The sequence below is a fragment of the Homo sapiens genome, chromosome 10, assembly GCF_000001405.40.
Source record: "Homo sapiens chromosome 10, GRCh38.p14 Primary Assembly".
NCBI lineage: Eukaryota > Metazoa > Chordata > Mammalia > Primates > Hominidae > Homo > Homo sapiens.
In genome coordinates this window covers 52,730,610-52,756,134 of record NC_000010.11, presented here as the reverse complement: position 1 = coordinate 52,756,134, position 25,525 = coordinate 52,730,610, and the positions used below count along the sequence as shown (strand labels likewise).

At 42.9% G+C, this 25,525-nt stretch overlaps 1 long non-coding RNA gene across 1 annotated transcript in view; it reads left to right on the top strand.

The window, feature by feature from the left end:
- The first annotated feature begins 730 nt into the window (after window positions 1–730).
- Window positions 731–25,525, top strand: part of LOC105378305 (uncharacterized) — a 198,425-nt gene continuing 173,630 nt past the window's right edge. Inside the window, exon 1 of the long non-coding RNA NR_155748.1 lies at window positions 731–825. This is a non-coding gene — a long non-coding RNA (uncharacterized LOC105378305). The remainder of the gene's footprint in view (window positions 826–25,525) is intronic.

Genomic DNA, 25,525 nt, shown 5'->3' with positions numbered 1-25,525 from the left:
GATTGGAACAACAAAGATATAGGGAAAAATAATTTTGGAAGCTACCTTTGTGAAATCTGTAGAAAGATGTAGAGAAGAGGAGCTGGTAACAGCCATGTCTGGACTCCCGGTCACCCTATTACCACAACCTGTTACCCCAACCCCATCACTTCACATAAGAAGCAAAGTTCATGCTAGCCTAGTAGCCCATTTCCTCCAAGACAATTCCCATCAAGCCTGGCCAGGTGGCTCAGCCCAGACCGAAGCATGGAGGATGTGCAGTGTGAAAAAGCACAGACTGAGATGACCATGCAGAAAAGATTTGTATAAGAAAGCTGGGGCCACCCCTGTAGCCTTGTTTTTATAATACTTTCCTGTGTCAAAAAAATTAATGAAGTTAATTTAGAATGAGAAATGATACATAATGCCTATAGGTATCTCTGAGAAGATTGCTACAGAGACTAAGAGGATCATAGACCTTCCTTCTGGAATGTTCCTGTTCCTATCTGTAGGATGAATGAGTGGAATCAGTGACTCAGACAAAGCCACTGTTGCACAACTGTATGCATGCACAGTGAACTCTGCAGACTCTGCAGATGGTTCCTGTAAATAGCGCTTAAAACCACAGTGGAAAAGCCACATGCTCCTGATACACTTGGGGGGACATAAAGGGAAACCCACACACCCAAGGAGGAGGGCTCTGGCCATGCAAGGCTGAAGGCCCAGTGTACTGATATGAAAACTGAAGCTCAGACAGAAGAGGCGACGTTGCTTTCTTAACCACTGGATTTGCAGTGCTGTGGTTCTCAGAAGAGGCCAGGACAGGTTAATCCACTCACTTGGGAGGCAGGTACCCACATTTCTCTCCAGCTGTTACCTCCAACCTTTAGTTCCACCGGTCAAAGAAGATATTTTGTTTTGCCTTGTCCTTTGCTAAAGTGATGGTACTTGTTTGCTTTCTCTCTGACAGAAAATGGCAGCTTTGGTTGTTCCCTCTTCCTGCCAATTCCTGTTGTTTTCAGTCATTTTAATTTTAGCCTTCTTCTGGAAGGTGCGAGTGGTATCTCAGCATGATTTCCTATTTCCCTCATGAAAAATGATATCAAATACTTTAGAGTTTCTTCATCAAACTTTTGTGTTTCTTCTCTTGTGCATTTTCTATTCAAGTCCTATGCCTACTTTTAAAAATTTCTTTACATTTTTATTGATAAATAAAATGTAAGCATTTTAATGCTTAATGAAATGCTTAATGTTGTGAGCATTTCTATATAAACTAGAGGCAAGTTTTTTTCAGTTGAATGTTATTAATAATTTTGAACAGTCTCCTCATTTTATCACTGGTGTCTTTTGATGAGCAGAGTTTTCATGTTTAATGAAAAGTAATCTACACTTTTTTTCTTTTTTCATTAGCATTTTAATTTGCTACCCAAAACATTCTTGACTACTCCTATTTCATGAAGCTATTCTTCTGTTTTCTCTTAAATGACTCAGCTTTTCACATTTTGACTTAGCTTTTACATTTCTTGACTTAACTTTTACATTATGCTCTTATATTAATACTGAGTTAATTTGCATTGATGGTGTGTGGGAGTATTCAAGGCAGATTATCTCTTTTAATAAATCTACAGTGATCTAAGCAATATTTGTACAAAAGTATTTCCAGTCTCCATTAAAGATCATTTATATCTATATGGAAGTTTAAAAGACCACTTATATGTACAAATGTATGCATGAATTATCTATTCTATTCCACTGGTTTATTGATGCATCCCATGCCAATTCAACACTGTTTTAATTGCTATGTCTTATAGTTTAAGTCTGAAAATATGAGTATAATTCCTCAGATAATACATGCTATATCAATTGTAGAATAAGCTGGTTAATTTCTCTGGAATTTTGATTAAAATGGAGTTGACTCTTGAGATCACGGTGTTGAGAACTGACATTGTACAATACTGATTCATCTATGTTCCAATGAACTGTTGCTAAAAATATAGAAATAAAAATGAATGTGTACATTACCCTTAAATGTAAAACCATGCTAATCACATTCATTAGTTCCATGGGTCTAAAAATACATTCATTTAAATGTTTTCGTATCAATTCATGTCTTTGGTAAATAAGGAAGTCCTACTGTTTTCTTTGCAACATTCTGCCTGTTTTCTCTTTTGTTTGCCGCATTTGCTAAATATTCTATCTAAAATTGAAGAGAATGATGAGAGCTGATATCTTTGCCTTGTTCGCAATCACAGGGAGAAATGATTTCCACGTCTCACACATTATATTAGGTTAATTTTCTTCATTGATGTAACTTATCACATGGAGAAAATTCCCCTCTATTTCAAATTTGCTGGGATTTTTAAATAAAATAAATAGGTGATGAAATTTGTGAATTAATGTTTCAAATGTATTGAACTGACTCAACTATGTCTTCCTGATTTAATTATTCCATTGTGCATTTCAAAGTTACACACTGAAGTATGAACTTGTAATTCTGCATAAATGTCACTTGGCCATGATGTCCTATATTTGTCATAGGTTACTGGTTTGACATGTTTATATTTTATAATCAATTTTGTGAACAAGATCATGGGCTATATTAGTCTGTCATTTTATTTGGGATACTGTTTTCTATTATGGGTAGCAGGGTATTGCTGGTATCTCACAATTTCACATCAAGTGTTCCTTCTTCCTGTATGTTCTGATGGAGTTTCCATAAGTTTGTTTCTTCTTTGGAGTTGATAAAATTCACCAAGAAAGCCATTTGAACTTGAGATTGACTCTATGTGAATAAGTTCATTTTGTCATACAAATGTGGGACTTTTCAGATTTTCTGTTTGAGCCTGTGTCATTGTGGTGAAGTTCAATATTTACTGAGCATCCGGGCTTTCCCTTGTCTGAAAAGCTGCACACTTAGAGACCACATCTCCAGCAGTTCCTCTTCCTTCATAGATTTGTCCTCCAGAATCTGCCTGATTTGGGTGATTCTTCAGCACCTTCTGTGAGGTGCTTTCTCAGAAATCATTTGCCCATGCTGAATCATTGGTGTCTGTAGGAAGGTGGCACTGATCAGCCTCCTCCACAATGACCAGAAGGTGGAACTCCCCAGCACCCCATGGAAGAGAAAGGAAAAGGCTACCCTTCTCCTGTCCAAGCCCACAGCTTCTGCCCCAGAGTGAGGAGCAGTGAGCAGGGCTAGACTGCTGGTGCATCATGATTTCAATCCCACGCCATTATCCTGATCTCAGTTAGCAAAACTTGCAGACCATGAAAAGGTGAGGCGTGCAGCAGGACTGCACCAGGAGGTGAAAGAGGTGAAGTGTCTCACAAGTCCTTTATTCCTCACCACCTGCCCTTGATCACCTGGCCAGTTCTCAGATTTCTTCTACTAGGAACAAAGTTTCAGATACATGTCCAGAAGAGAGGAAGGCCCTACCTTTCTTGGATGTCTATGAGTTGCCACATCCACACACAGACATGGAAGCCAGTGTTTGACACAGTGTGCACTGAGCCATCCTGGCCCACTATGCCCATCCCCTGCAGACATCCTGCACAAGGCCAGGCCCTCACAGGGCCTGGAGACCACCTTTATCAAATGTATTCAAATAGCAATGAAGAAAGAAAAATGGCAAGACACTTGTTAAGGTAAAAGAGAGAGGAAGAAAGGCGAGAAGGGCAAAGAAGCCAGGGGCAGTGAGCTGTCCAATGTCCTAATGACTTCTGCCAGGCAGAGGAAAGTTCCATGAGGGGCATTCAGGACAGGCCTTTTTTGGGCACCTGGTGAATGTTTCCCCTGGCAGACCATATTCAGAGCAAATGGTCATGATTGCCCATAACAGAGTGGTCTTCTCAAAATGAGGGAATAGAGGATCAGGAGGCAAGGCACACCTAGGCAATGGCTAAGTCAAGGATAGAGCCCAGCCCATGTCCTTCCCTATACTTTGGTTTCTCCAGCAGCTCTGTTGACTCTTGACCTTCACCTAGACCTTCCAAGAAGCTGAAGGACAGTGAAAAAGAAGTGGACACCTGTAAGCCACACTGCTCATACGTTGGCTTACTGACAGGACATATGGAGGCTGGTCAGCCCAGTGCCAACCCCCACATGGCCACAGGGCATGTGGCACAGTTTCACCATCATCCTCACAGCTCTCATGACCATGTTCCATGGCCCAGAGCCATGGGCTAAATCTGTACCCACAGCTCACTAGGTACCTATATCAGAAGGTTGGAACACAAGGCCTGTGACCTGCCCAGGGATGATTTGAAACTAGAGATGAGTGTCTCTGCCACACAGATAGAAACAGCCAAATCAGAGAAGAACAAGGACATGAGAATGACAGGAACTAAAACAAAGCCTAGAGTCCCTGTCTGGGGATGGAGAGGAGAGCAGAACAGTTCCCCTCCTCCAGTCAATGCTTTTGCCCAGAGTTGACTCTGAAGGGTGCTCCCTAAGGGTGGGCTTTCAGGCAGAAATACATCTATAGAGTGTGCAGGTACAAGACCCACTTCAATCCTGGGCTTCCAAGTCTGAGTCCCCTGAATCCCTGCGCCTATCTAAATTCTCTGTTTCCCTCACTGGATGATCTGATCAATACAGAATGAGTCAGCACTCATGATGGTTCCTGGCTTCTGGGAATGCCTTGGTACTTGTCCCATGCCTTTTTGCCACTGAGGCCTGGCTCACAATTGCATCCTTGGGGAAGTCTTAGTAATAACTCCTGTCTATTCCTGGGCATGTGCTGGGGGTGAGGGATCAGGGAGACCCTTTACTCCTATTGGAATCTTTCAAGGACTCTTGGTAGGCAGTCGTGAATGTTGGACCTATGTAGAGCAAGAAAGCCTGAGACTTGGTGGTAGTCAGAGAGCCTGCAGGAACCGGAATTCTGTTACATACCTTGGTCATGCTGACACCACAGAACTAGGACATGACTCCGTTGAAGACTCTGACAGATGCTTTACCAAGTAGAGTTGTGACTTTGAACCAGGATCTAGGTGAGCAAAGCCTTTTCTATTTTTCTGTGTGGTAGGACTTGCCTGGGCTGAGACCCAAAACTCTTGGCCTAAGAACCTCACAGCCACATTCTTATACCCACACTGACATTCCTCACTGCCAAACCTGAAGATATTCTTGACCTCTGTCAAATCAGCTGCTCGTCAGATCTGTTCCATAGGCCATATTTTCAGACACCCAAGGATTTGGCACATGATGCCATCCAGGACATTAACATAGGAACATCTAAATGGTATTGTCAAGAGGGGTTGACATGGGCATAGGTTCATCCATCTACATGAAGAGTTTGAAGGCTGCAGTAGCCCAGGTCTCCTAGGGGTGTGGGATAAAGGTGAGGAGTTATAGGCTGGCCCACCTCCCTCTTCACTGAATCTCTAGCCCTGAGTCCAGCCCCTTTCAGAGACCTATAGTACCAGAAGGCAATAGTTATGAACAGGTCCAGCCCTACTGGACTCCCCACTTTACAGACTGCCCTCTCCACTCAATGAACAGATGGGAGCCAATCTTAAATTGAAGTCTAATGTATTGAAACTCAGAAGTAAAGTTCACCCTTCTCTTTTACCCTGCTAGATAGAAACATTAAAATAGAGAAATGGTTTTCTCTTTCAAATGTCTCTTAAAGCTAAAGTGCTCAAAAATCATATCGTGTTTTTCAAAGAAAAGCAGGCTGACTCATCCAATAAAAGCCTCCTGGAGGGCCAGACGTGGTGGCTCATGCCTGTAATCCCAGCACTTTGGGATGCTGAGGCAGGCAGATCACCTGAGGTCAGGAGTTCGAGACCAGCCTGACCAACATGGCGAAACCCCATCTCTACTAAAAATACAAAAATTAGCCAGGTGTGGTGGTAGGTGCCTGTAATCCCAACTACTTTGGAGGCTGAGGCAGGAGAATCGCTTGAACCTGGGAGGCGGAGGTTGCAGTCAGCTGAGATCATGCCACTGCACTCCAGCCTGGGCGACAGAGCAAGACTCTGTCTCAAAAAAAAAAAAAAAAAAAACCTACAGGAAACATATTTTTCTAGTTTTCTAGAGTATACTATCATAAGAATAACTTCCAATAATCTCTATTTTCTAAATTTATCCTGAAATCTATATGACTATCAAGATTCTACAAAAAACAAACCACTTGTGTAAAAGACTCTACCATAAATATAAACATAGAGGGAGAACTGAAAGACATTTTAAGGATCAAATATGAAAACTCATGACTGAAGACCACTGTGTGGTTTCGGAATTTGGAGGACAAAGGTCCCATGGAGGTTGAATGAAACCGAGAGATAACACAACCATTTTCTAAATTCAAATATCCAGGGGAAAAAACAGGCTATGGTAGATGCAAAAGAGGAGAACCCTACTTTGAGGATGAAGAAGCCTGGCATGGGTGCAACAAGCCTTCTTGAAGGAGGTAGTGGAAGAAGATAGCTTCTTGCCAGGAACTCCCTATTAAGACTCAGTAAACATCTTATTGAGGAAAAGGAAAGAGGAAAGAAAAAGTGAAGGTACTGGAGACAGAGGAGGGGGAGTGAGGAGAGGGTCATCAAGGGAAGGGTCAGAGTGGATGGGCCAGAGACTCTGCGATCTCTGAGAAAGCAGCACTTCATGGCCAGGGATCAGGGCACAAATCCTAATCTCAACCACATGCTCCACTGGGATGATCAAATCCATGAAGATCCACATGCAGAAGCTGGAGCTGAATGGCTCTTTCCCTTCTTCTTTGTCCCAGGTCCGCAACTTCCTGTCTGGTGATGATGAGGTTTCCTTCAACCTCCTGAGCTCTCAGCCAATCATTGGGGGCTTGACACCTGATTGACAGAATCTGGCACTGCCTAGAAAAAAATGGTTCCTTCCAGCTGTCATGTGAGATCAGGAAATAGCTCTTGGGAGTTCTCCAACTCTTTATTTCATGGCTCATCAGGTCATTGGCTTCAGAACTTTCTACCTATTGCTCGAAGTCAAGATCTGCCTTGACAAGTAGCATCCCCACACACTCCACTTCTTTTAGGCTGCTGTCATTTAATCATTTCATTTTCTCTCTCCTCAATATGTCAATCTGATCATTCCATGGAGGCTTCTAGATGATCTTGTGTTGACCTCTCAGTGAGCTTTCTTCTTTTCTTTGGCAATACTGATGTGAAATTGGTTCTTTCTCTTTCTCTTGAATGTTGAAATGGGCATGTGACCTGACAGCATCCTTTGATCTTTTCCTGGATCCTTTTGCCTCCTTAAGAATATGATCTCCATTTCTTGGTTCTCCTAATCCCAATTTCTCACTCAAGTCCTTCTTTCAGGAAAAAGCTGCTGCTTCATTGATCTTGAGTCTGTCTTCCTGCCAAGACATAGCCTGACTCTTCATAGAAGACATAAACGTGGCTCTGGTGAGCTTGAATCTTTTTTCAGTTTCTCCTGTTAGTTTGAAGTGTGCTTTAGCTTCTTGCACATATGGCTCAATGGCTTTTTGGTGTAGAGACTGGATCTTTCTTGCTGTCTCAGACATCAGCTGTTTTAGTTCTGAACAATGAGGGTTTACTCTTCCCCTGTGTCTTGCCACAATGCATATGAAGTTCCTCCTCATAGGCTTGAACCCATCCAAGTCATCAGCCACTTCTGACTCTTCCTTTTCCTCCACCCTAGGATGAAACTTGCCAAGAGCATTACATTTGACTACTGCTAGTGCTAAATTGCTACTGGCAGGTCCCTTGTCTCTTGATCAAGAAAGACTTTCTTTGAATGACTAAACAATTTTGCCTATAAACAAGAGAACTAGGAATACCTGGACTGTCAAAATACACTCTTCCCTCTCCCACTGATATACGGGGACAGTGAGATTTGCTCTCACATCATCAGGGGCTTCTGCCATGAAATCCTCCAGTGTCTCATGGGTTGGACAAGAGTACACATCCCTAGCAGAACGAAGCTTCTCCATAAAGGCCCAGTCTGATGCAGAGCTACCTAGGGCCACCCTGGCCAGTAGGCCCACACCACACCATGAAAATGATGCTTCTGGTTTTCACTCAGAACCAAACCTGCACTGGGAAACCAGGGCAAATCATGTCTGCTGAGGGTGGGTGGGCAGGCTCAAAGCAATCAAGAACTCTCATATCCTCCCTCATATCCTTGGCTCTTTTACTTCACCTTCTTTATCTGGAGCCTAACAAGGACTCTAATATATTATTCACACTGTTTACTCAGTCTGGAAAGCTGCTCATTCCATTTGTCCTATGTGGGGCACACCCCTGTCTTGTGACCACAGTTCTCTCACTCTAGCAGCTCCAGTGGCCTCGGTTGGGCCCGGCCATGATGAGGTTCACAGTGCTCCATGCATACTTGTGGACAGAATCAATGAACAAGCAATGGAATCAACGGACGAAGGCCAAAGTTATCCTTTGTCTTCTCTGGAAAGTTACACCTAATGCTCTGCAGACCCAGCAAACAGCTTACTAGAAAAACTTCATTCCAGTGGAAGCAAACAAACAGAGTAATGTATTTGAAAAGCATGAACTAATGGTGAACATCAGAAAACCATGAGCAACATCTGCTTCTCTACTAATTATAGCTTTAGTCCTCTGTTTTCCTCCCCGGTTCTAGAAAAAGGAAATGACATTCAATCCTATTACCCCTGCTTCCTGACAGCACCCAGACCAGATCAGACTCACACTTTCTTGAGTGCCCCCCCAATGAAAATCACAGAGCAAAAGCCAAAATTCCATACAAATTCCCTCCTAACTAACTATGACTGTGTGGTCCTGTGGTTCCTCCTGTGGTACAGTCTGCCTTGATGCAAGTACCAGGAAAATAAACTTTGCTTCATGACAGGTGTGTTCCTGGTGGTTTTCAACTGAAGGTGTTTGATTGATGGTCCCAATTTCACTGTCTTTATCTTCCTCACAACATTTCTGGGGAAGAAGCATGGAGCTAGAAAACCTATTTTATGCCAGTACAAGTGGTTTGTTCAAATTCACATAGATACCAAATTCACAGTTATGAATCAAAATCTCTCAATCTCCAGCTGTTTCTTCAGGATGGGCCAGTCCACAAAGGCTGCATCCCAGAGTAAAAGGAAGTAGAGATAATTGCAACTGAGACCAGCAGACTCAGAATGGAGTGGGGACCATGAAAATCCTGCAAGAAAGCGTTGTGGGAGGGGAGCAGAAACAGGCCAGGCTGTGAAAAATGGGCCATGGGAGGAGCAGGTAGTCATCTTATAGGTTGGAGAGGCAAATGATTCTGCAGGGAGGTGGATGAGTTATATGGGGTGGATTTCTGGGAGGAAGAAGCAGTGGGCAAGGCTCAAGGTCCTAGAAGCCTTGACAATGACTATAGGGGTGGCGTGAAGGTGCTCAGAGATGCTAAATGACAACCATTTCACAGAGTTTGTTTGTTGTACCTGCTAGGAGCTTAGCATTGTGACTATGAGCATTTAGATGACCATTGCTCAGCATTTTAATAATTACAGTACCAGAAGTCAACACTTTCTGGAAAGAAATTGGTACTTTCTTCTTGAAATGCAAAGTTCACAATTGCCTGGTGGGGGCTCTTGGGTCAGAGGTACTAACAAGATGGAACAGAGTTTTGTGCTCTTAGGCCTGTCAGGTGGGGTGGGTTGCCCCGGCCTGAGGATAGCAGGAGGGCCAGGTCAGTATGTGCTGAATGGGTCAAGGTGGGAGGGAAGAATGGGGTTGAGAAAGTTTATTTCTACCCTTGGCCATCTGAGAGCAGGGCTCCTCTCTTTGCCCCTGGTTGGTGCGGAGCATTCTCCAGATTGTTTTCAGGAGTCCTCACTAGATGGCTCCAGGACTCAGAAGCCCGGGAGGAGTCTCCATCTTCCATACAGAGTTGCAAATGCTGAACCAGTCATAGCTTCTCAATTAGACCGGAATTCCTTGTGTGTGTGTTATTCAGATCCCCATGTCATCAATAAGGAAACTGAGGCTACGACAAATAAAGTTAGGGTTAGGGCTAGGGTCAGCTCTAAAAAGAAACAAGATCATGTCCTTTGCAGGGGCATGAATGGAGCTGAAAGCCATTATCCACAGCAAACTAACACAGGAACAGAAAACCAAACACCACATGTTCTCACTTATAAGTGGGAGCTGAACAACAAGAACACATGGACACAGGAAGGGGAACAACACACACTGGGGTCTGTCAAGGGGGTGGGAAGAGGGAGAGCATCAGGATAAATAGCTAATGCACGTGGTGCGTAATATCTAGGTGAAGGGTTGATAGGTGCAGCAAACCACCATGGCACACGTTTACCTACGCAACAAACCTGCACATCCTGCCTATGTATCCCGGAACTTAAAATAAAATTAAATAATAGTAAAAAAAAAAGTAGACTTTCAAACAAGGGTTATTCTAAGAGGAAAAAAAAAAAAGAAAGTGGGAGTCTGATCTGGTGTGGGTGCTGTCAGGAAGTAGGGGTAATACTACTGGATGTGGTAAAGAAAAATTTCAGCTGAATTAAATTCAAAGGAGTTTAATTGAGCAATGAACGATTCAAGAATGGAGCAGCCCCCAGAATCACAGCAGATTCAGGGATTCTGGGAATGCCTTATGGTCAGAACAAATTTAAGGACAAAAAAAGGAAGCGTTGTACAGAAATCAGAATTAAGGTACAGAAACAGCTGGACTGGTTACAGGTTGGCGTTTGCCTTATATGAACAGAGTTTGAACACTCAGCAGTGTATGAGTGGTTGAAGTATGGCTGCTGGGATTGGCCAAGACTCAGCTATTGTTACAGGTGCATACTCCTAAGTTTGGTTTTCAATCTCATCTACCTCTCAAGTTAGGTTACAGTTTGTCCACAAGGACTCAAATATAGAAGTACAGAGTCCTTCTCAGGCCATTTTTAGTTTGCTTTAACAGATGTAAACTTTTTTCCAGAACTGGGGAGGAACAGAGAGGGCTAAATCGATATTTACTAGAGAAGCAGTAGTTGCTCACGCCAGCCAAAAGAGGGGCCTATTGGCCATTTTTGTCATGTGCATAGTGACTTTTTTTGGATTCTCTAACTAATGTTGAATAGAACAGTGGCAGCTACAGCTGATATCTTTGTCTTGTTTTCAATCACAGGGAGCAGTTTTTTTTTCTTTCACCATTAAAGATCATGTGAGCGCGAGGTTGTTCTTAGACATACTTTATCACGTGGAGGGAAATTTGCTGATTTTTTTTTAAATAATGAATGTGTGATGAGTTCTAAATTGATTTTTCAGAATCCATCAAATTCACTCTTAGCTATGTCTCTTTGATTTGTAAATATGATGGATTTCAAAGTCTAATATTTCAATATTAATTGCATTCTTAAGATAATTTTTTTCCGTTGATGTCTGTGGGAAGGTGGGACTGACCAAGTTTCTCCACCATGACCAGAGGGTGGGACTCCACAGCACACCATGGAACATGAAGGAAATGGTCCTTCCACCTCTCCAGGCCCACACTCCTGCCCCAGGGTGAGGAGCAGAGAGCAGGACACAGAGTTTTTCTCCTATGTGCTCAGATATGTTCAGCCGACATCACTCACTGATGGCTTCATCCTGTCCTATGAGTCACATGCGACAGTTATGATTGATATCCACATCCACATACTGGATGTAGTCTAAGTACCTGTTCTGAAAAGTTTTCTATATTCTTAAGCTTTCAGTCACTTTTAGTTTCCTGTTTTATTACTGACATTCTGAACACCTCTCATATTTCTAGAATCCCTAGGCCCACAGGAACCCATACACAGAACACAGCCTTTTCTCTTGAATTCACCACAATCCCTTCAGGAGAGTCACTGTGGTGTGGGCTAGGTTCCTACTGGCATGACCAAGGCAGTGGCAGGGAGTTCTCAGCTGAGGACCAAATACCAGACACGCAGTTTCTTGACAGATGCTGAGGACCCACCTGTAACTGAGAAATATTCACCAGGACATTTTTCTTCTTATAACCATCCCAAGGATCCCTTTACCCTCAGAGATGCTTTGAGCAAGAGGCCGATACACACAACCCTCCGGTGTCAGCCCGGTCTGTCCTCCTGCCCAGCCTCCCCTGGAGCTCAGTCCCTGAACGTCTCCGAGTCAGCCACATGAAGCTCCATGAAGTTCTCTAGATGGGCTGCCCCATCCTAGTCCCAGAGCACAGACATACTCTATTCCCCCTTAGTGGAATGCCTTTCTATGCATTTTCCTGTATTTAATTAGTTGCTAATACTGTATTCATAGATGAACACACTCTGAGGACTTTTGAAAACATTTCAGGAGCCCAAGGCCTCCCTGATAAAGGCCCATAAACCTTGTCTTCAGTGTTCTGTGAAGTCGAAGCAACATCTCCTGAGGCCCGGTTTTTCAGTTTGATAGGGGCCATGACACTGGGTTCAGATTCTAAAAGTTCTGAATATCCAACAACTTATGAGTCTGTTGAAATTTCGGCTTAAAGTGAGGACACCTGGAAAACTCTCCCAAAAAATGGGATAAGGAAGGAGGTCACAACACAGCCCACCTTGCTCTCTCAGGGCATCCTGTGGTGTAGGGTGAGCCTCGGGCGCTGGAGTCATGGACCTCAGTGAGGAGGCTTGCTCTCATCCTCATCACTAGGTTGTGGAACTGTAGCCCTCAAGAGGCCGAATGACCTGGGCATTGAGTCTACCAGTGATGCCCAGGGACAATGTGTTTTAGAGCATTGCTGTCCAATAGAAATATGGAGTTAGAAACACATCTAATTTTAAATTTTCTAGCAGCCACATTAAAAGGGTAAAAATATGTAAAATTAATTTAAATAAAATTTAACCCAGCATATTCAAAACATTATCATTTCAACATGTAATCATGTAAACGCATTATTCACCTGATTCAGTACAGCCATTTGTTCCTCATGAAATCTTTAAAATCCAATGTACATTTGCATGCAGAGCACGTCTCGATTTGGAATAAGCCTATTTCAAGTGTTCACATGTGGCTAGTAGTTTTCTATTTGGGCAGCGAACACCTAGAGGGTCAATCTTTGTGTATCCCACAATCAGGGAATGTGATGATTAATTTTTCACATCAACATGGTCTAGCTACACTATCCAGCTATTGAATCCAACACTGACCTAGGTGCTGCTGTGAAGGTACTTTGTACATATGGTTAGCATCCACAATCAGTTGATCTTAGGTAAAGGAGATGAGCCTCCATCACGTGGTTAGACCTCATCTAACAGTTGAGGCTTGAAGAGGGAAAATAGGTTTCCTGTAGAAGGAGAAACTCTGCCTCAAGGCTGCAGTAGCAACCGTGACCTGAATTTCCAGCCCACCAGCCATGCAGACTGCAGACTTGCCAGCCCTCACTGGCAGTTGAGTCACTTCATACATACACACAATTATTTGTCTGTTTCTCTTTAGGACCTTAATCGACACAGGCAGCATCCACAACAGTGACTGAGACTATACTTGATGGCTTTTCTGAGAACTTGTAAATCATACACATATTTCTGAATCCCGAGGGAAAGCTGTGTCTAGCTACTAAATAGCCAATAAGGAGACTAGAATTCATAGAAGTTAGTTTTCTTTCAGCAACTATTTATCTATGAAAATAAACAGCCAGGCACGGTGGCTCACATCTGTAATCCTAGCACTTTGGGAGGCTGAGAGTGGATCATTTAGGTTAGGAGTTCGAGACCAGCCTGGCCAACATGACGAAACCCTATCTCTACTAAAAATACAAAAAAATTAGCTGGACATGGTGGTGGGTGTCTGTAGTCCCAGTTACTAGGGAGGCTGAGGCAGGAGAATCGCTTAAAACCCCGGGAGGCAGAAGTGGCAATAAGCAAACATCGCCCACTGCATTCCAGCCTGGGCGACAGAGCGAGACTTTGTCTCCAGAAAAAAAAAAAAAAAAAAAAAAAAAAAGCATGCATAAATTGCTGAGACTGACCTCTACCCAGCCCCAACTTAGTAGAAGTTAATTCCAATGGGAGTAGTGAAAATACAGATATGCTTTGCCCTCACCAAGTGTCACAGAGTGGTGCATACTTGTGCTTCTTTATACATCAGGGGTAGGTCTATTTATGTCTCTATGATTCTTGCATGTCTGTGCTTGCCCTGTGTATTCCTGTCTGTGTGAAGCATGTCCAAGTGTTTGCAGGTGGTTGTGTATGTATGTGTGTCTATTCACTGGTATTGGGGAAATATGCGGATGTGCATAGATGTATAAGATGAGGATGATCTATGACTTATGAGGTTCAGGCCTATAAAGCCCCTGTCTGGCCCGAGGGCAGCTTTGGGGTTTTTCCTTGCCAAGAGGCAATAGGAAGAGAACTGGCATCCCTGAACCCTCCTCATCCTCTCATAAGAAACAGGATGAAGGAACAGCACTGGGCACTATATTAGGGTGCTGCTGAACAAGAATATAAAGATGGGGAGGTTGGATGAAACTATGGCAGGGCATGATCGAGGATCCTCAGCAGCTGTGTCCTGGGAGGTTCCATCCAGGGGATGGTTTGCAATCCTCCTCAAGCAAGAAATGCATTTGAGACCCCAGAGAACTAGCTCCTAGTCCAGATGAGGCTGATGCAGTCACTAATTTCCCCCATACCTCCCACATATTTTTCCAGAATACCAGGCACTGGTCTGATAGCAGGAAGAGGGGAAGACAGCAGATGTGCATAGACCAGATGCCACTGCATGCCACATGCGTGCTCTGCCCTTAACAGAGCAGTTACTTCCCACTGACCACAACTTGCTGGGCCTCAGCTCTCAACCCTATGAAACTGGCATGTGGACAGCACTGGCCAGTAGAATGTTTGCTGTGAGCATCTTTGAGATAGCATTCGAGTGTTTGTTCCCTTAGCCTGAAAAAACAGGTCTTCCCTAAGATCTGAGCAGGAAAAAGCATTGCCCTGCAATATAGGAAGCTGCAGATACTCAGAAGCCCTGAGAAAGGTGGTTAGACTAACCAGAAATACCTCTCCAACAAGACTTTCCTCTTCACAGAGATGGAATGATGAAAAAAGCTTCTCCGAATGGCCTCTTGGAGCCAACGTGAGGCATGGGAAATGCTGAACCCTCAGGGACCCTGTAGGATAAGCAGAAGCCCCTGAGAGGCAGCCCCTTCAACAACCAGTAGGAAAAGCATGTAACAGTTCTGCCCTCTGCTGGCAGTGTTAAGAACTGCATTGGGCCAAGGGGATGGGCACAAAGATCTAGGAGGCCTTTTTGAGGACCGCACATGACATCTAACATGAGACCTGGGGAACACCATGTAGACATGCTCAGGGAAGGGAAAGAGCCTGGCTTTTGTGATGATCTGCAAGTAGATCAAAGGTCTGCATCCTCTCTAGCATTGAGAATCAACATGAGAATTACGTGCAGCTCCCAGCTGTCCCTTCTTTAGGGCACTCTCCTCCCAGGTACAGGGTTCTGGTCTCTGGATCTCAGGGTTCTGGTCTCTGGATCTCAGGGTCCTGGGGTCTCAGCTGCAGGCTCTGGGCAGTGGTCACACCCTTAGTGATTGGGTATTTGAGCTCAGAAAAGAGAATTAGGATTCTAAATCTGCTCCCTCTGCTCTGGTCACTGAACTTCTGACCCTGGACTCTGCAGTCTAGGCCCTGGGTCTTGGTTCCAGTGGGTGGGATTGACCCTGTACTGTGCTTGGGCAGTGATCTCAGTTTTCTGAAGAAGAGGAAGCTCCAGGCTCTGTGTGTTGGATCCTGAACTAGGGGTCATGGGCTCTGCTTGAGGCCTGGGCCTCTGGCTCTGGGCCCTCGCTTGGCATCTGGCATTTGGGTTCCAAGAACTGACCTTATATTTCTGGGCCTTACTTTGGTGATCTGCAGGGCTGTAGTGCTACAAGCTTAACTGAGCCCCTAAATCTTGTCTTCTCCTTGCAGTTTCCTCATTCAGGCTTTGGGCACTGGGCTGTGGGCTCCAGGCTCCAGCTCTGCCCATGTTGCTGAGTCTTTGGGCTATTTACTGGTCATTGATGAAAAACATGATTCCATTCCTGTCCTCTGGGCAAAGAGGTGTCTTGGATCCCATGCTGTAAGTTCGGGATGTGAGTACTCTAGTCTGACTTTGGGGTTCCATGCTGGCCCCAGAGATCTTAGTTTTGCTTAATGCTGAAGGAATCCTGCTGAGGGAAGGAAAACGGGGTGATTAAATTTGAGACAAAGGTGGTGATTCAAGGCTCCAAACCAGAGAGGCAATGGGAAACACAAGATCAGCATCTGCTTGGCAGACATAGGAGCCAGGCAAGGGTCTACTCTCTCCTGAGCTCAGTGACTTTCACAAGTGACCTCACCTGCCTAACGAGAGGCTCTGCTTCTGCTCTTTACTAAGTGCTCACTTCACAAGTGACCTCATTTGGCTGACCCTCAGTTTCCTTATTCATGACATGGGGATGTGAATAACATACACATGGAAGGAATTCTGGTCCAATTGAGAAGCCATGACTGGCTCAGCATTTGCAACTCTGTCTGGAAGATGGGGATGCCTCCCAGGCTTCTGAGCCCCAGAGCCATTCTGTGGGGACTCTTGAAAATCTGGAGAATGCTCCCCACCAGCCAGGGGTAAGGAGAGGAGCCCTGCTCTCTGATGGCCAAGGGTAAAATGAACTTTCTCAAGACCACCCCATCCTTCCATCCTGCCTAGACCCATTCAGCATATACTGACCTGGACCTCCTGCTGTCCTCAGGCCAGGGCAGCCCACAACCCCCCCACAAGCCTGAGACCACAAAACTCTTCTCCATCCTGTTAACACCTCTGACCCAAGAGCCTCCACCAGGGAAATGTGAACTTTGCATTTCAAGAGGCAAGTACCAATTTCTCTCCAGAAAATATTGACTTCTGGTTCTGTAATTATTAAAATGCTGAGCAATGGTCATCTAAATGCTCGTAGTCACAATGCTAGGCTCCTAACAGGTACAACAAACTCTGCTAAATGGTTGTCATTTAGCATCTCTGAGCACCTTCACACCACCCCTATAGTCATTGTCAGAGTTTCTAGGACCTTGAGCCTTGTCCACTGCTTCTTCCTCCCAGACATCCACCTCATTCAACTCATCCACCTCCCTGCAGAATCAGTTGCCTCTCTGACCTATAAGATGAGTGCCTGCCCCACTTGTGGCCCGTTTTTCACCGCCTGGCCTGTTTCTGCCCCCTCGCACAACTCTTTCCTGCAGGATTTTCATGGTCTCCACTCCATTCTGAGTCCGCTGGCCTCAGTTGCAATTATCTCTATTTCTTCTTACTCTGGGATGCAGCCTTTGTGGACTGCTCCATCTTGAAGAAACAGCTGGAGATTGAGAGACTTTGACTCTTAACTGTGAATTTGGTATCTATGTGAATTTGAACAAACCACTTATACTGGCATCAAATAAGTTTTGTAGTCCCACGCTACTTCCCCAGAAATGTTGTGAGGAAGATAAAGACAGAGAACATGAAACCATCAATCAAAGATCTTTAGTCAAAAACCACCAGGAACACAACTGTCATGAGGCAAAGTTTATTTTCCTGGTACTTGTATCAAGGAAGATTGTACTACTGGAGGAACCATAGGATCGCTCAGTCAGTTTGTCAGGAGGAAATGTGCATGGAATTTGTACTTGTGCTTTGTGATTTTCAGGTTGGGGAGACTCACGAATATATGAGTCTGATCTGGTCCAGGTGCTGTCAGGAAGCAGGGGTAATAGGATTGGATGTCATTACCTTTTTCTAGAACTGGGGAGGAACAGAGAGGGCTAGATCTGTATTTAGTAGAGAAGCAGCACTTGCTCATGCCAGCTAGGAGCGGGGCCTGTTGTCCGTTTTTGTTGTGTGCAGAGAGCCTGAGTAGTCTAGATTTTGTCTAGACTTGTTAAGAATTTTTACCAACATGTTTATTACGGTATTTTCTTGGAGTATCATTTTCAGATTTTAATGTCAGGATTATACTGCCTTCATTAATGAATTAGAAAGTGTTCCTTATTCCTTCTTCCTGAAAGAGTTTACATAGGATTTACTTTCTTTCTTTCTACATATTTAATAGAATTCACCAGTGAAACCCCATCTGAGCCTAGAATTTTCTTTGTGGGGCAAGTTTTGATAACAAATTAATTTTCTTTGGTAGGTAGAGGGTTATTCGATTGTCTATTCGATCTTGTCTATTCGAGAATTGTCTACTCAATCTTGTATCATATTCATTATATTTTAATTTTTAAGGAATTTAACTTCACAAATTTGTTGAGAAAGTTGTTCACAATCTTTTTTTATGTTTTTGATATCTATTAGGATCAGTTGTGATAGTCCCTTTTAATTCTTGATATTGCTAATTTGCATTTTTTCATGTTTTCTTGATGTGTCTTGCTAGATATTTAAAAATTGTATTAATGTTCATAAAAACAACTTTTGGCTTTATTTTCTCATTTTTTTCAGCTTTGTATACCATTAATTTTGCTCTGATCTTTATTTCCTTTCTTCTACTTATTTTAATTGAAGCATATTTTTCTAGTTTTATAAAAGGAATAATTAGATAATTTATTTCATGTCTTTATTCCACTCTAATATAAACATTTAAAGCTATAAATTTTCTTATAAGAACTGCTTTAGCTATGCCTATCACCAAAATTTAAACATTTAGTTTTCATTATGACTCAGATAAAAATAATTTCTAATTTCTCCCATGACCTCTTTGTGGGTTTTCTACAAGTGACTTGCTTAAATGTGAAAAATATCATCCTGGCACCCAGTTAAGTTACTTGGAAGTAGTTGGTTTTTTCTCAGGTCTTGCTTTTATGTGGAGATCCAGAGCACTGCTCTGTCTAGAGCTCATGCTTCCCCTCTATTGAGCAGTTTCCCCAAAGCTCCATGAATTAAGAGTTTTTCTAGCTGGTTCGTTGGTAAAGGCACGGTTCTCAGCCTTGTGTGATTGCTGGACACTATTCACTCTAATCTTTTCAGACTTTTTTTGTTCTTACTTTGGACAAAATCTTCACAAACCTGCTCGAAGAGTTTTGAATACTCAAAGATCTCTCGGATCCTCTCTCTGTGTAGTGCTCTCTGATTTGGCACTCTTTCCTATAAACTCTAAATGTCCATGTCTCCAGGATCTCTCAGCTCTATTCCCTCAACTCAGGGCATCCAATGCACTTCACCTCATTTTCTGCCCCTAAACTTTAACCTGAAAACTCTCTCAGGGAAGTGAGCTGGGGGTGTCTTAGGGCTCCTTTAGTTTGTTTCTAGTCTCTCCATTCTCTTTTGCCTAATGTTCAATGTCTTAAAAACCATCATTTCATTTATCTTATAGTTTCAGTTGTCAATGAACCGTAGTGGTTGTGTACAAATAAACTTTTTCTTTTTACCAAAACTGGTGGTGGACTGGATTTGCTGTGTGGACTGTGGTTTTCCACCTCATGAACTAGAGCAACCTTAATCTAGTTTATATATTGGATTCTCCAAAATGATCATTTTAGAAAAATAGTTTTTATCACTACTAAATTGTTGGAAAATATCTAAGTCCTGTCCCTTCAGATTATGTCTATTCTTTAGAGGCTCAAGTAGACAGCAGACATTAATAAATATTTATTAAAATTGTAGGGGTGAATTAGAAAAAACTAGAAAAAAGAAATAGGACTAAAATTCAGGGGTCTATCATGTAATCTTTTTTAAAATTATGCTTGCCATTAGAGGGCAGCCAAGATGGCCGAATAGGAACAGCTCCAGTCTACAGCTCCCAGCGTAAGCAATGCAGAAGACGGGTGATTTCTGCATTTCCATCTGAGGTACCGGGTTCATCTCACTAGGGAGTGCCAGACAGTGGGCGCAGGACAGTGGGTGCAGCGCACCGTGTGCGAGCCGAAGCAGAGTGAGGCATTGCCTCACTCGGGAAGTGCAAGGGGTCAGGGAGTTCCTCTTCCTAGTCAAAGAAAGGGGTGACAGACGGCACCTGGAAAATCGGGTCACTCCCACCCTAATACCGCACTTTTCCGACAGGCTTAAAAAACGGCACACCAGGAGATTATATCCCGCACATGCCTCAGAGGGTCCTACGCCCACAGAGTCTCGCTGCTTGCTAGCACAGCAGTCTGAGATCAAACTGCAAGGCGGCAGTGAGGCTGGGGGAGGGGCGCCCACCATTGCCCAGTCTTGCTTAGGTAAACAAAGCAGCCAGGAAGCTGAAACTGGGTGGAGCCCACCACAGCTCAAGGAGGCCTGCCTGCCTCTGTAGGCTCCACCTCTGGGGGCAGGGCACAGACAAACAAAAAGACAGCAGTAACCTCTGCAGACTTAAATGACCCTGTCTGACAGTTTGAAGAGAGCAGTGGTTCTCTCAGCACGCAGCTGGAGATCTGAGAACAGGCAGACTGCCTCCTCAAGTGGGTCCCTGACCCCTGACCCCCGAGCAGCCTAACTGGGAGGCACCCCCAGTAGGGGCATACTGATACCTCACACGGCCAGGTACTCCTCTGAGACAAAACTTCCAGAGGAACGATCAGACAGCAGCATTCACAGTTTATGAAAATCCACTGTTCTGCAGCCACCACTGCTGTTACCCAGGCAAACAGTGTCTGGAGTGGACCGCTAGCAAACTCCAACAGACCTGCAGCTGAGGGTCCTGTAAGTTAGAAGGAAAACTAACAAACAGAAAGGACATCCACACCAAAAACCCATCTGTACATCACCATGATCAAAGACCAAAAGTAGATAAAACCACAAAGATGGGGAAAAAACAGAGCAGAAAAACTGGAAACTCTATAAAGCAGAGCGCCTCTCCTCCTCCAAAGGAACGCAGTTCCTCACCAGCAACGGAACAAAGCTGGATGGAGAATGACTTTGACGAGTTGAGAGAAGTCTTCAGATGATCAAACTACTCCAAGCTACAGGAGGAAATTCAAACCAAAGGTAAAGAAGTTAAAAACTTTGAAAAAAATTTAGACGAATGTATAACTAGAATAACCAATACAGAGAAGTGCTTAAAGGAGCTGATGGAGCTGAAAGCCAAGGCTCGAGAGCTATATGAAGAATGCAGAAGCCTCAGGAGCAGATGCGATCAACTGGAAGAAAAGGTATCAGTGATGGAAGATGAAATGAATGAAATGAAGCGAGAAGGGAAGTTTAGAGAAAAAAGAATAAAAAGAAATGAACAAAGCCTCCAAGAAATATGGGACTATGTGAAAAGACCAAATCTATGTTTGATTGGTGTACCTGAAAGTGATGGGGAGAATGGAACCAAGTTGGAAAACACTCTGCAGGATATTATCCAGGAGAACTTCCCCAAACTAGCAAGGCAGGCCAACATTCAGATTCAGGAAATACAGAGAATGCCACAAAGATACTCCTCGAGAGGAGCAACTCCAAGACACATAATTGTCAGATTCACCAAAGTTGAAATGAAGGAAAAAATGTTAAGGGCAGTCAGAGAGAAAGGTCGGGTTACCCACAAAGGGAAGCCCATCAGACTAACAGTGGATATCTCGGCAGAAACTCTACAAGCCAGAAGAGAGTGGGGGCCAATATTCAATATTCTTAAAGAAAAGAATTTTCAACCCAGAATTTCATATCCAGCCAAACTAAGCTTCATAAGTGAAGGAGAAATAAAATACTTTACAGACAAGCAAATTCTGAGAGATTTTGTCACCACCAGGCCTGCCCTAAAAGAGCTCCTGAAGGAAGCACTAAACATGGAAAGGAACAACCAGTACCAGCGAGTGCAAAATCATGCCAAATTGTAAAGACCATTGAGGCTAGGAAGAAACTGCATCAACTAACGAGCAAAATAACCAGCTAACATCATAATGACAGGATCAAATTCACACATAACAATATTAACTTTAAATATAAATGGACTAAATGCTCCAATTAAAAGACACAGACTGTCAAATTGGATAGAGTCAAGACCCATCAGTGTGCTGTATTCAGGAAACCCATCTCACGTGCAGAGACACACATAGGCTCAAAATAAAAGGATGGAGGAAGATCTACCAAGCAAATGGAAAACAAAAAAAGGCAGGGGTTGCAATCCTAGTCTCTGATAAAACAGACTTTAAACCAACAAAGATCAAAAGAGACAAAGAAGGCCATTACATAATGGTAAAGGGATCAATTCAACAAGAAGAGCTAACTATCCTAAATATATATGCACCCAATACAGGAGCACCCAGATTCATAAAGCAAGTCCTGAGTGACCTACAAAGAGACTTAGACTCCCACACAATAATAATGGGAGATTTAACACCCCACTGTCCACATTTGACAGATCAATGAGACAGAAAGCTAACAAGGATACCCAGGAATTGAACTCAGCTCTGCACCAAGCAGACCTAATAGACATCTACAGAACTCTCCACCCCAAATCAACAGAATATACATTTTTTTCAGCACCACACCACGCCTATTCCAAAATTGACCACATAGTTGGAAGTAAAGCTCTCCTCAGCAAATGTAAAAGAACAGAAATTATAACAAACTGTCTCTCAGACCACAGTGCAATCAAACTAGAACTCAGGATTAAGAAACTCACTCAAAACCACTCAACTACATGGAAACTGAACAACCTGCTCCTGAATGATTACTGGGTACATAATGAAATGAAGGCAGAAATAAAGATGTTCTTTGAAACCGATGAGAACAAAGACACAACATACCAGAATCTCTGGGATACATTCAAAGCAGTGTGTAGAGGGAAATTTATAGCACTAAATGCCCACAAGAGAAAGCAGGAAAGATCCAAAATTGACACCCTAACATCACAATTAAAAGAACTAGAAAAGCAAGAGCAAACACATTCAAAAGCTAGCAGAAGGCAAGAAATAACTAAACTCAGAGCAGAACTGAAGGAAATAGAGACACAAAAAACCCTTCAAAAAATTAATGAATCCAGGAGCTGGTTTTTTGAAAGGATCAACAAAATTGATAGACCGCTAGCAAGACTAATAAAGAAGAAAAGAGAGAAGAATCAAATAGATGCAATAAAAAATGATAAAGGGGATATCACCACCGATCCCACAGAAATACAAACTATCATCAGAGAATACTACAAACACCTCTACGCAAATAAACTAGAAAATCTAGAAGAAATGGATAAATTCCTTGACACATACACCCTCCCAAGACTAAACCAGGAAGAAGTTGAATATCTGAATAGACCAATAACAGGCTCTGAAATTGTGGCAATAATCAATAGCTTACCAACCAAAAAGAGTCCAGGACCAGATGGATTCACAGCCGAATTCTACCAGAGGTACAAGGAGGAACTGGTACCATTCCTTCTGAAACTATTCCAATCAACAGAAAAAGAGGGAATCCTCCCTAACTCATTTGATGAGGCCAGCATCATCCTGATACCAAAGCCGGGCAGAGACACAACAAAAAGAGAATTTTAGACCAATATCCTCGATGAACATTGATGCAAAAATCCTCAATAAAATACTGGCAAACCGAATCCAGCAGCACATCAAAAAGCTTATCCACCATGATCAAGTGGGCTTCATCCCTGGGATGCAAGGCTGGTTCAATATACACAAATCAATAAATGTAATCCAGCATATAAACAGAACCAAAGACAAAAACCACATGATTATCTCAATAGATGCAGAAAAGGCCGTTGACAAAATTCAACAACCCTTCATGCTAAAAACTCTCAATAAATTAGGTATTGATGGGATGTATCTCAAAATAATAAGAGCTATCTATGACAAACCCACAGCCAATATCATACTGAATGGGCAGAGACTGGAAGTATTCCCTTTGAAAACTGGGATGTTTTCCAAAACTGGAAGCATTCCCTTTGAAAACACAGGACAGGGATGCCCTCTCTCACCACTCCTATTCAACATAGTGTTGGAAGTTCTGGCCAGGGCAATTAGGCAGGAGAAGGAAATAAAGGGTATTCAATTAGGAAAAGAGGAAGTCAAATTGTCCCTGTTTGCAGATAACATGATTGTATATCTAGAAAACCCCATTGTCTCAGCCCAAAATCTTCTTAAGCTGATAAACAACTTCAGCAAAGTCTCAGGATACAAAATCAATGTACAAAAATCACAAGCTTTCTTATACACCAATAACAGACAAACAGAGAGCCAAATCATGAGTGAACTCCCATTCACAATTGCTTCAAAGAGAATAAAATACCTAGGAATCCAACTTACAAGGGACGTGAAGGACCTCTTCAAGGAGAACTACAAACCACTGCTCAAGGAAATAAAAGAGGATACAAACAAATGGAAGAACATTCCATGCTCATGGGTAGGAAGAATCAATATCATGAAAATGGCCCAAGGTAATTTATAGATTCAATGCCATCCGCATCAAGCTACCAAGGACTTTCTTCACAGAATTGGAAAAAACTACTTTAAAGTTCATATGGAACCAAAAAAGAGCCCGCATCGCCAAGTTAATCCTAAGCCAAAAGAACAAAGCTGGAGGCATCACGCTACCTGACTTCAAACTATACTACAAGGCTACAGTAACCAAAACAGCATGGTACTGGTACCAAAACAGAGATATAGATCAATGGAACAGAACAGAGCCCTCAGAAATAATGCCGCATATCTACAACTATCTGATCTTTGACAAACCTGAGAAAAACAAGCAATGGGGAAAGGATTCCCTATTTAATAAATGGTGCTGGGAAAACTGGCTAGCCATAGGTAGAAAGCTGAAACTGGATCCCTTCATTACACCTTATACAAAAATTAATTCAAGATGGATTAAAGACTTAAATGTTAGACCTAAAACCATAAAAACCCTAGAAGAAAACCTAGGCATTACCGTTCAGGACATAGGCATGGGCAAGGACTTCATGTCTAAAACACCAAAAGCAATGGCAACAAAAGCCAAAATTGACAAACGGGATCTCATCAAACTAAAGAGCTTCTGCACAGCAAAAGAAACTACCAACAGAGTGAACAGGCAAACTACAAAATGGGAGAAAATTTTCGCAACCTACTCATCTGACAAAGGGCTAATATCCAGAATCTACAATGAACTCAAACAAATTTACAAGAAAAAACAAACAACCCCATCAAAAAGTGGGCAAAGGACATGAACAGACACTTCTCAAAAGAAGACATTTATGCAGCCAAAAAACACACGAAAAAATGCTCACCATCACTGGCCATCAGAGAAATGCAAATCAAAACCACAATGAGATACCATCTCACACCAGTTAGAATGGCAATCATTAAAGAGTCAGGAAACAATAGGTGCTGGAGAGGATGTGGAGAAACAGGAACACTTTCACACTGTTGGTAGGACTGTAAACTAGTTCAACCATTGTGGAAGTCAGTGTGGTGATTCCTCAGGGATCTAGAACTAGAAATACCATTTGACCTAGCCATCCCATTACTGGGTGTATACCCAAAGTATTATAAATCATGCTTCTAAAAAGACACATGCACACGCATGTTTATAGCGGCACTATTCACAGTAGCAAAGACTTGGAACCAACCCAAATGTCCAACAATGATAGACTGGATTAAGAAAATGTGGCAAATATACACCATGGAATACTATGCTGCCATAAAAAATGATGAGTTCATGTACTTTGTAGGGACATGGATGAAATTGGAAATCATCATTCTCAGTAAACTATCGCAAGGACAAA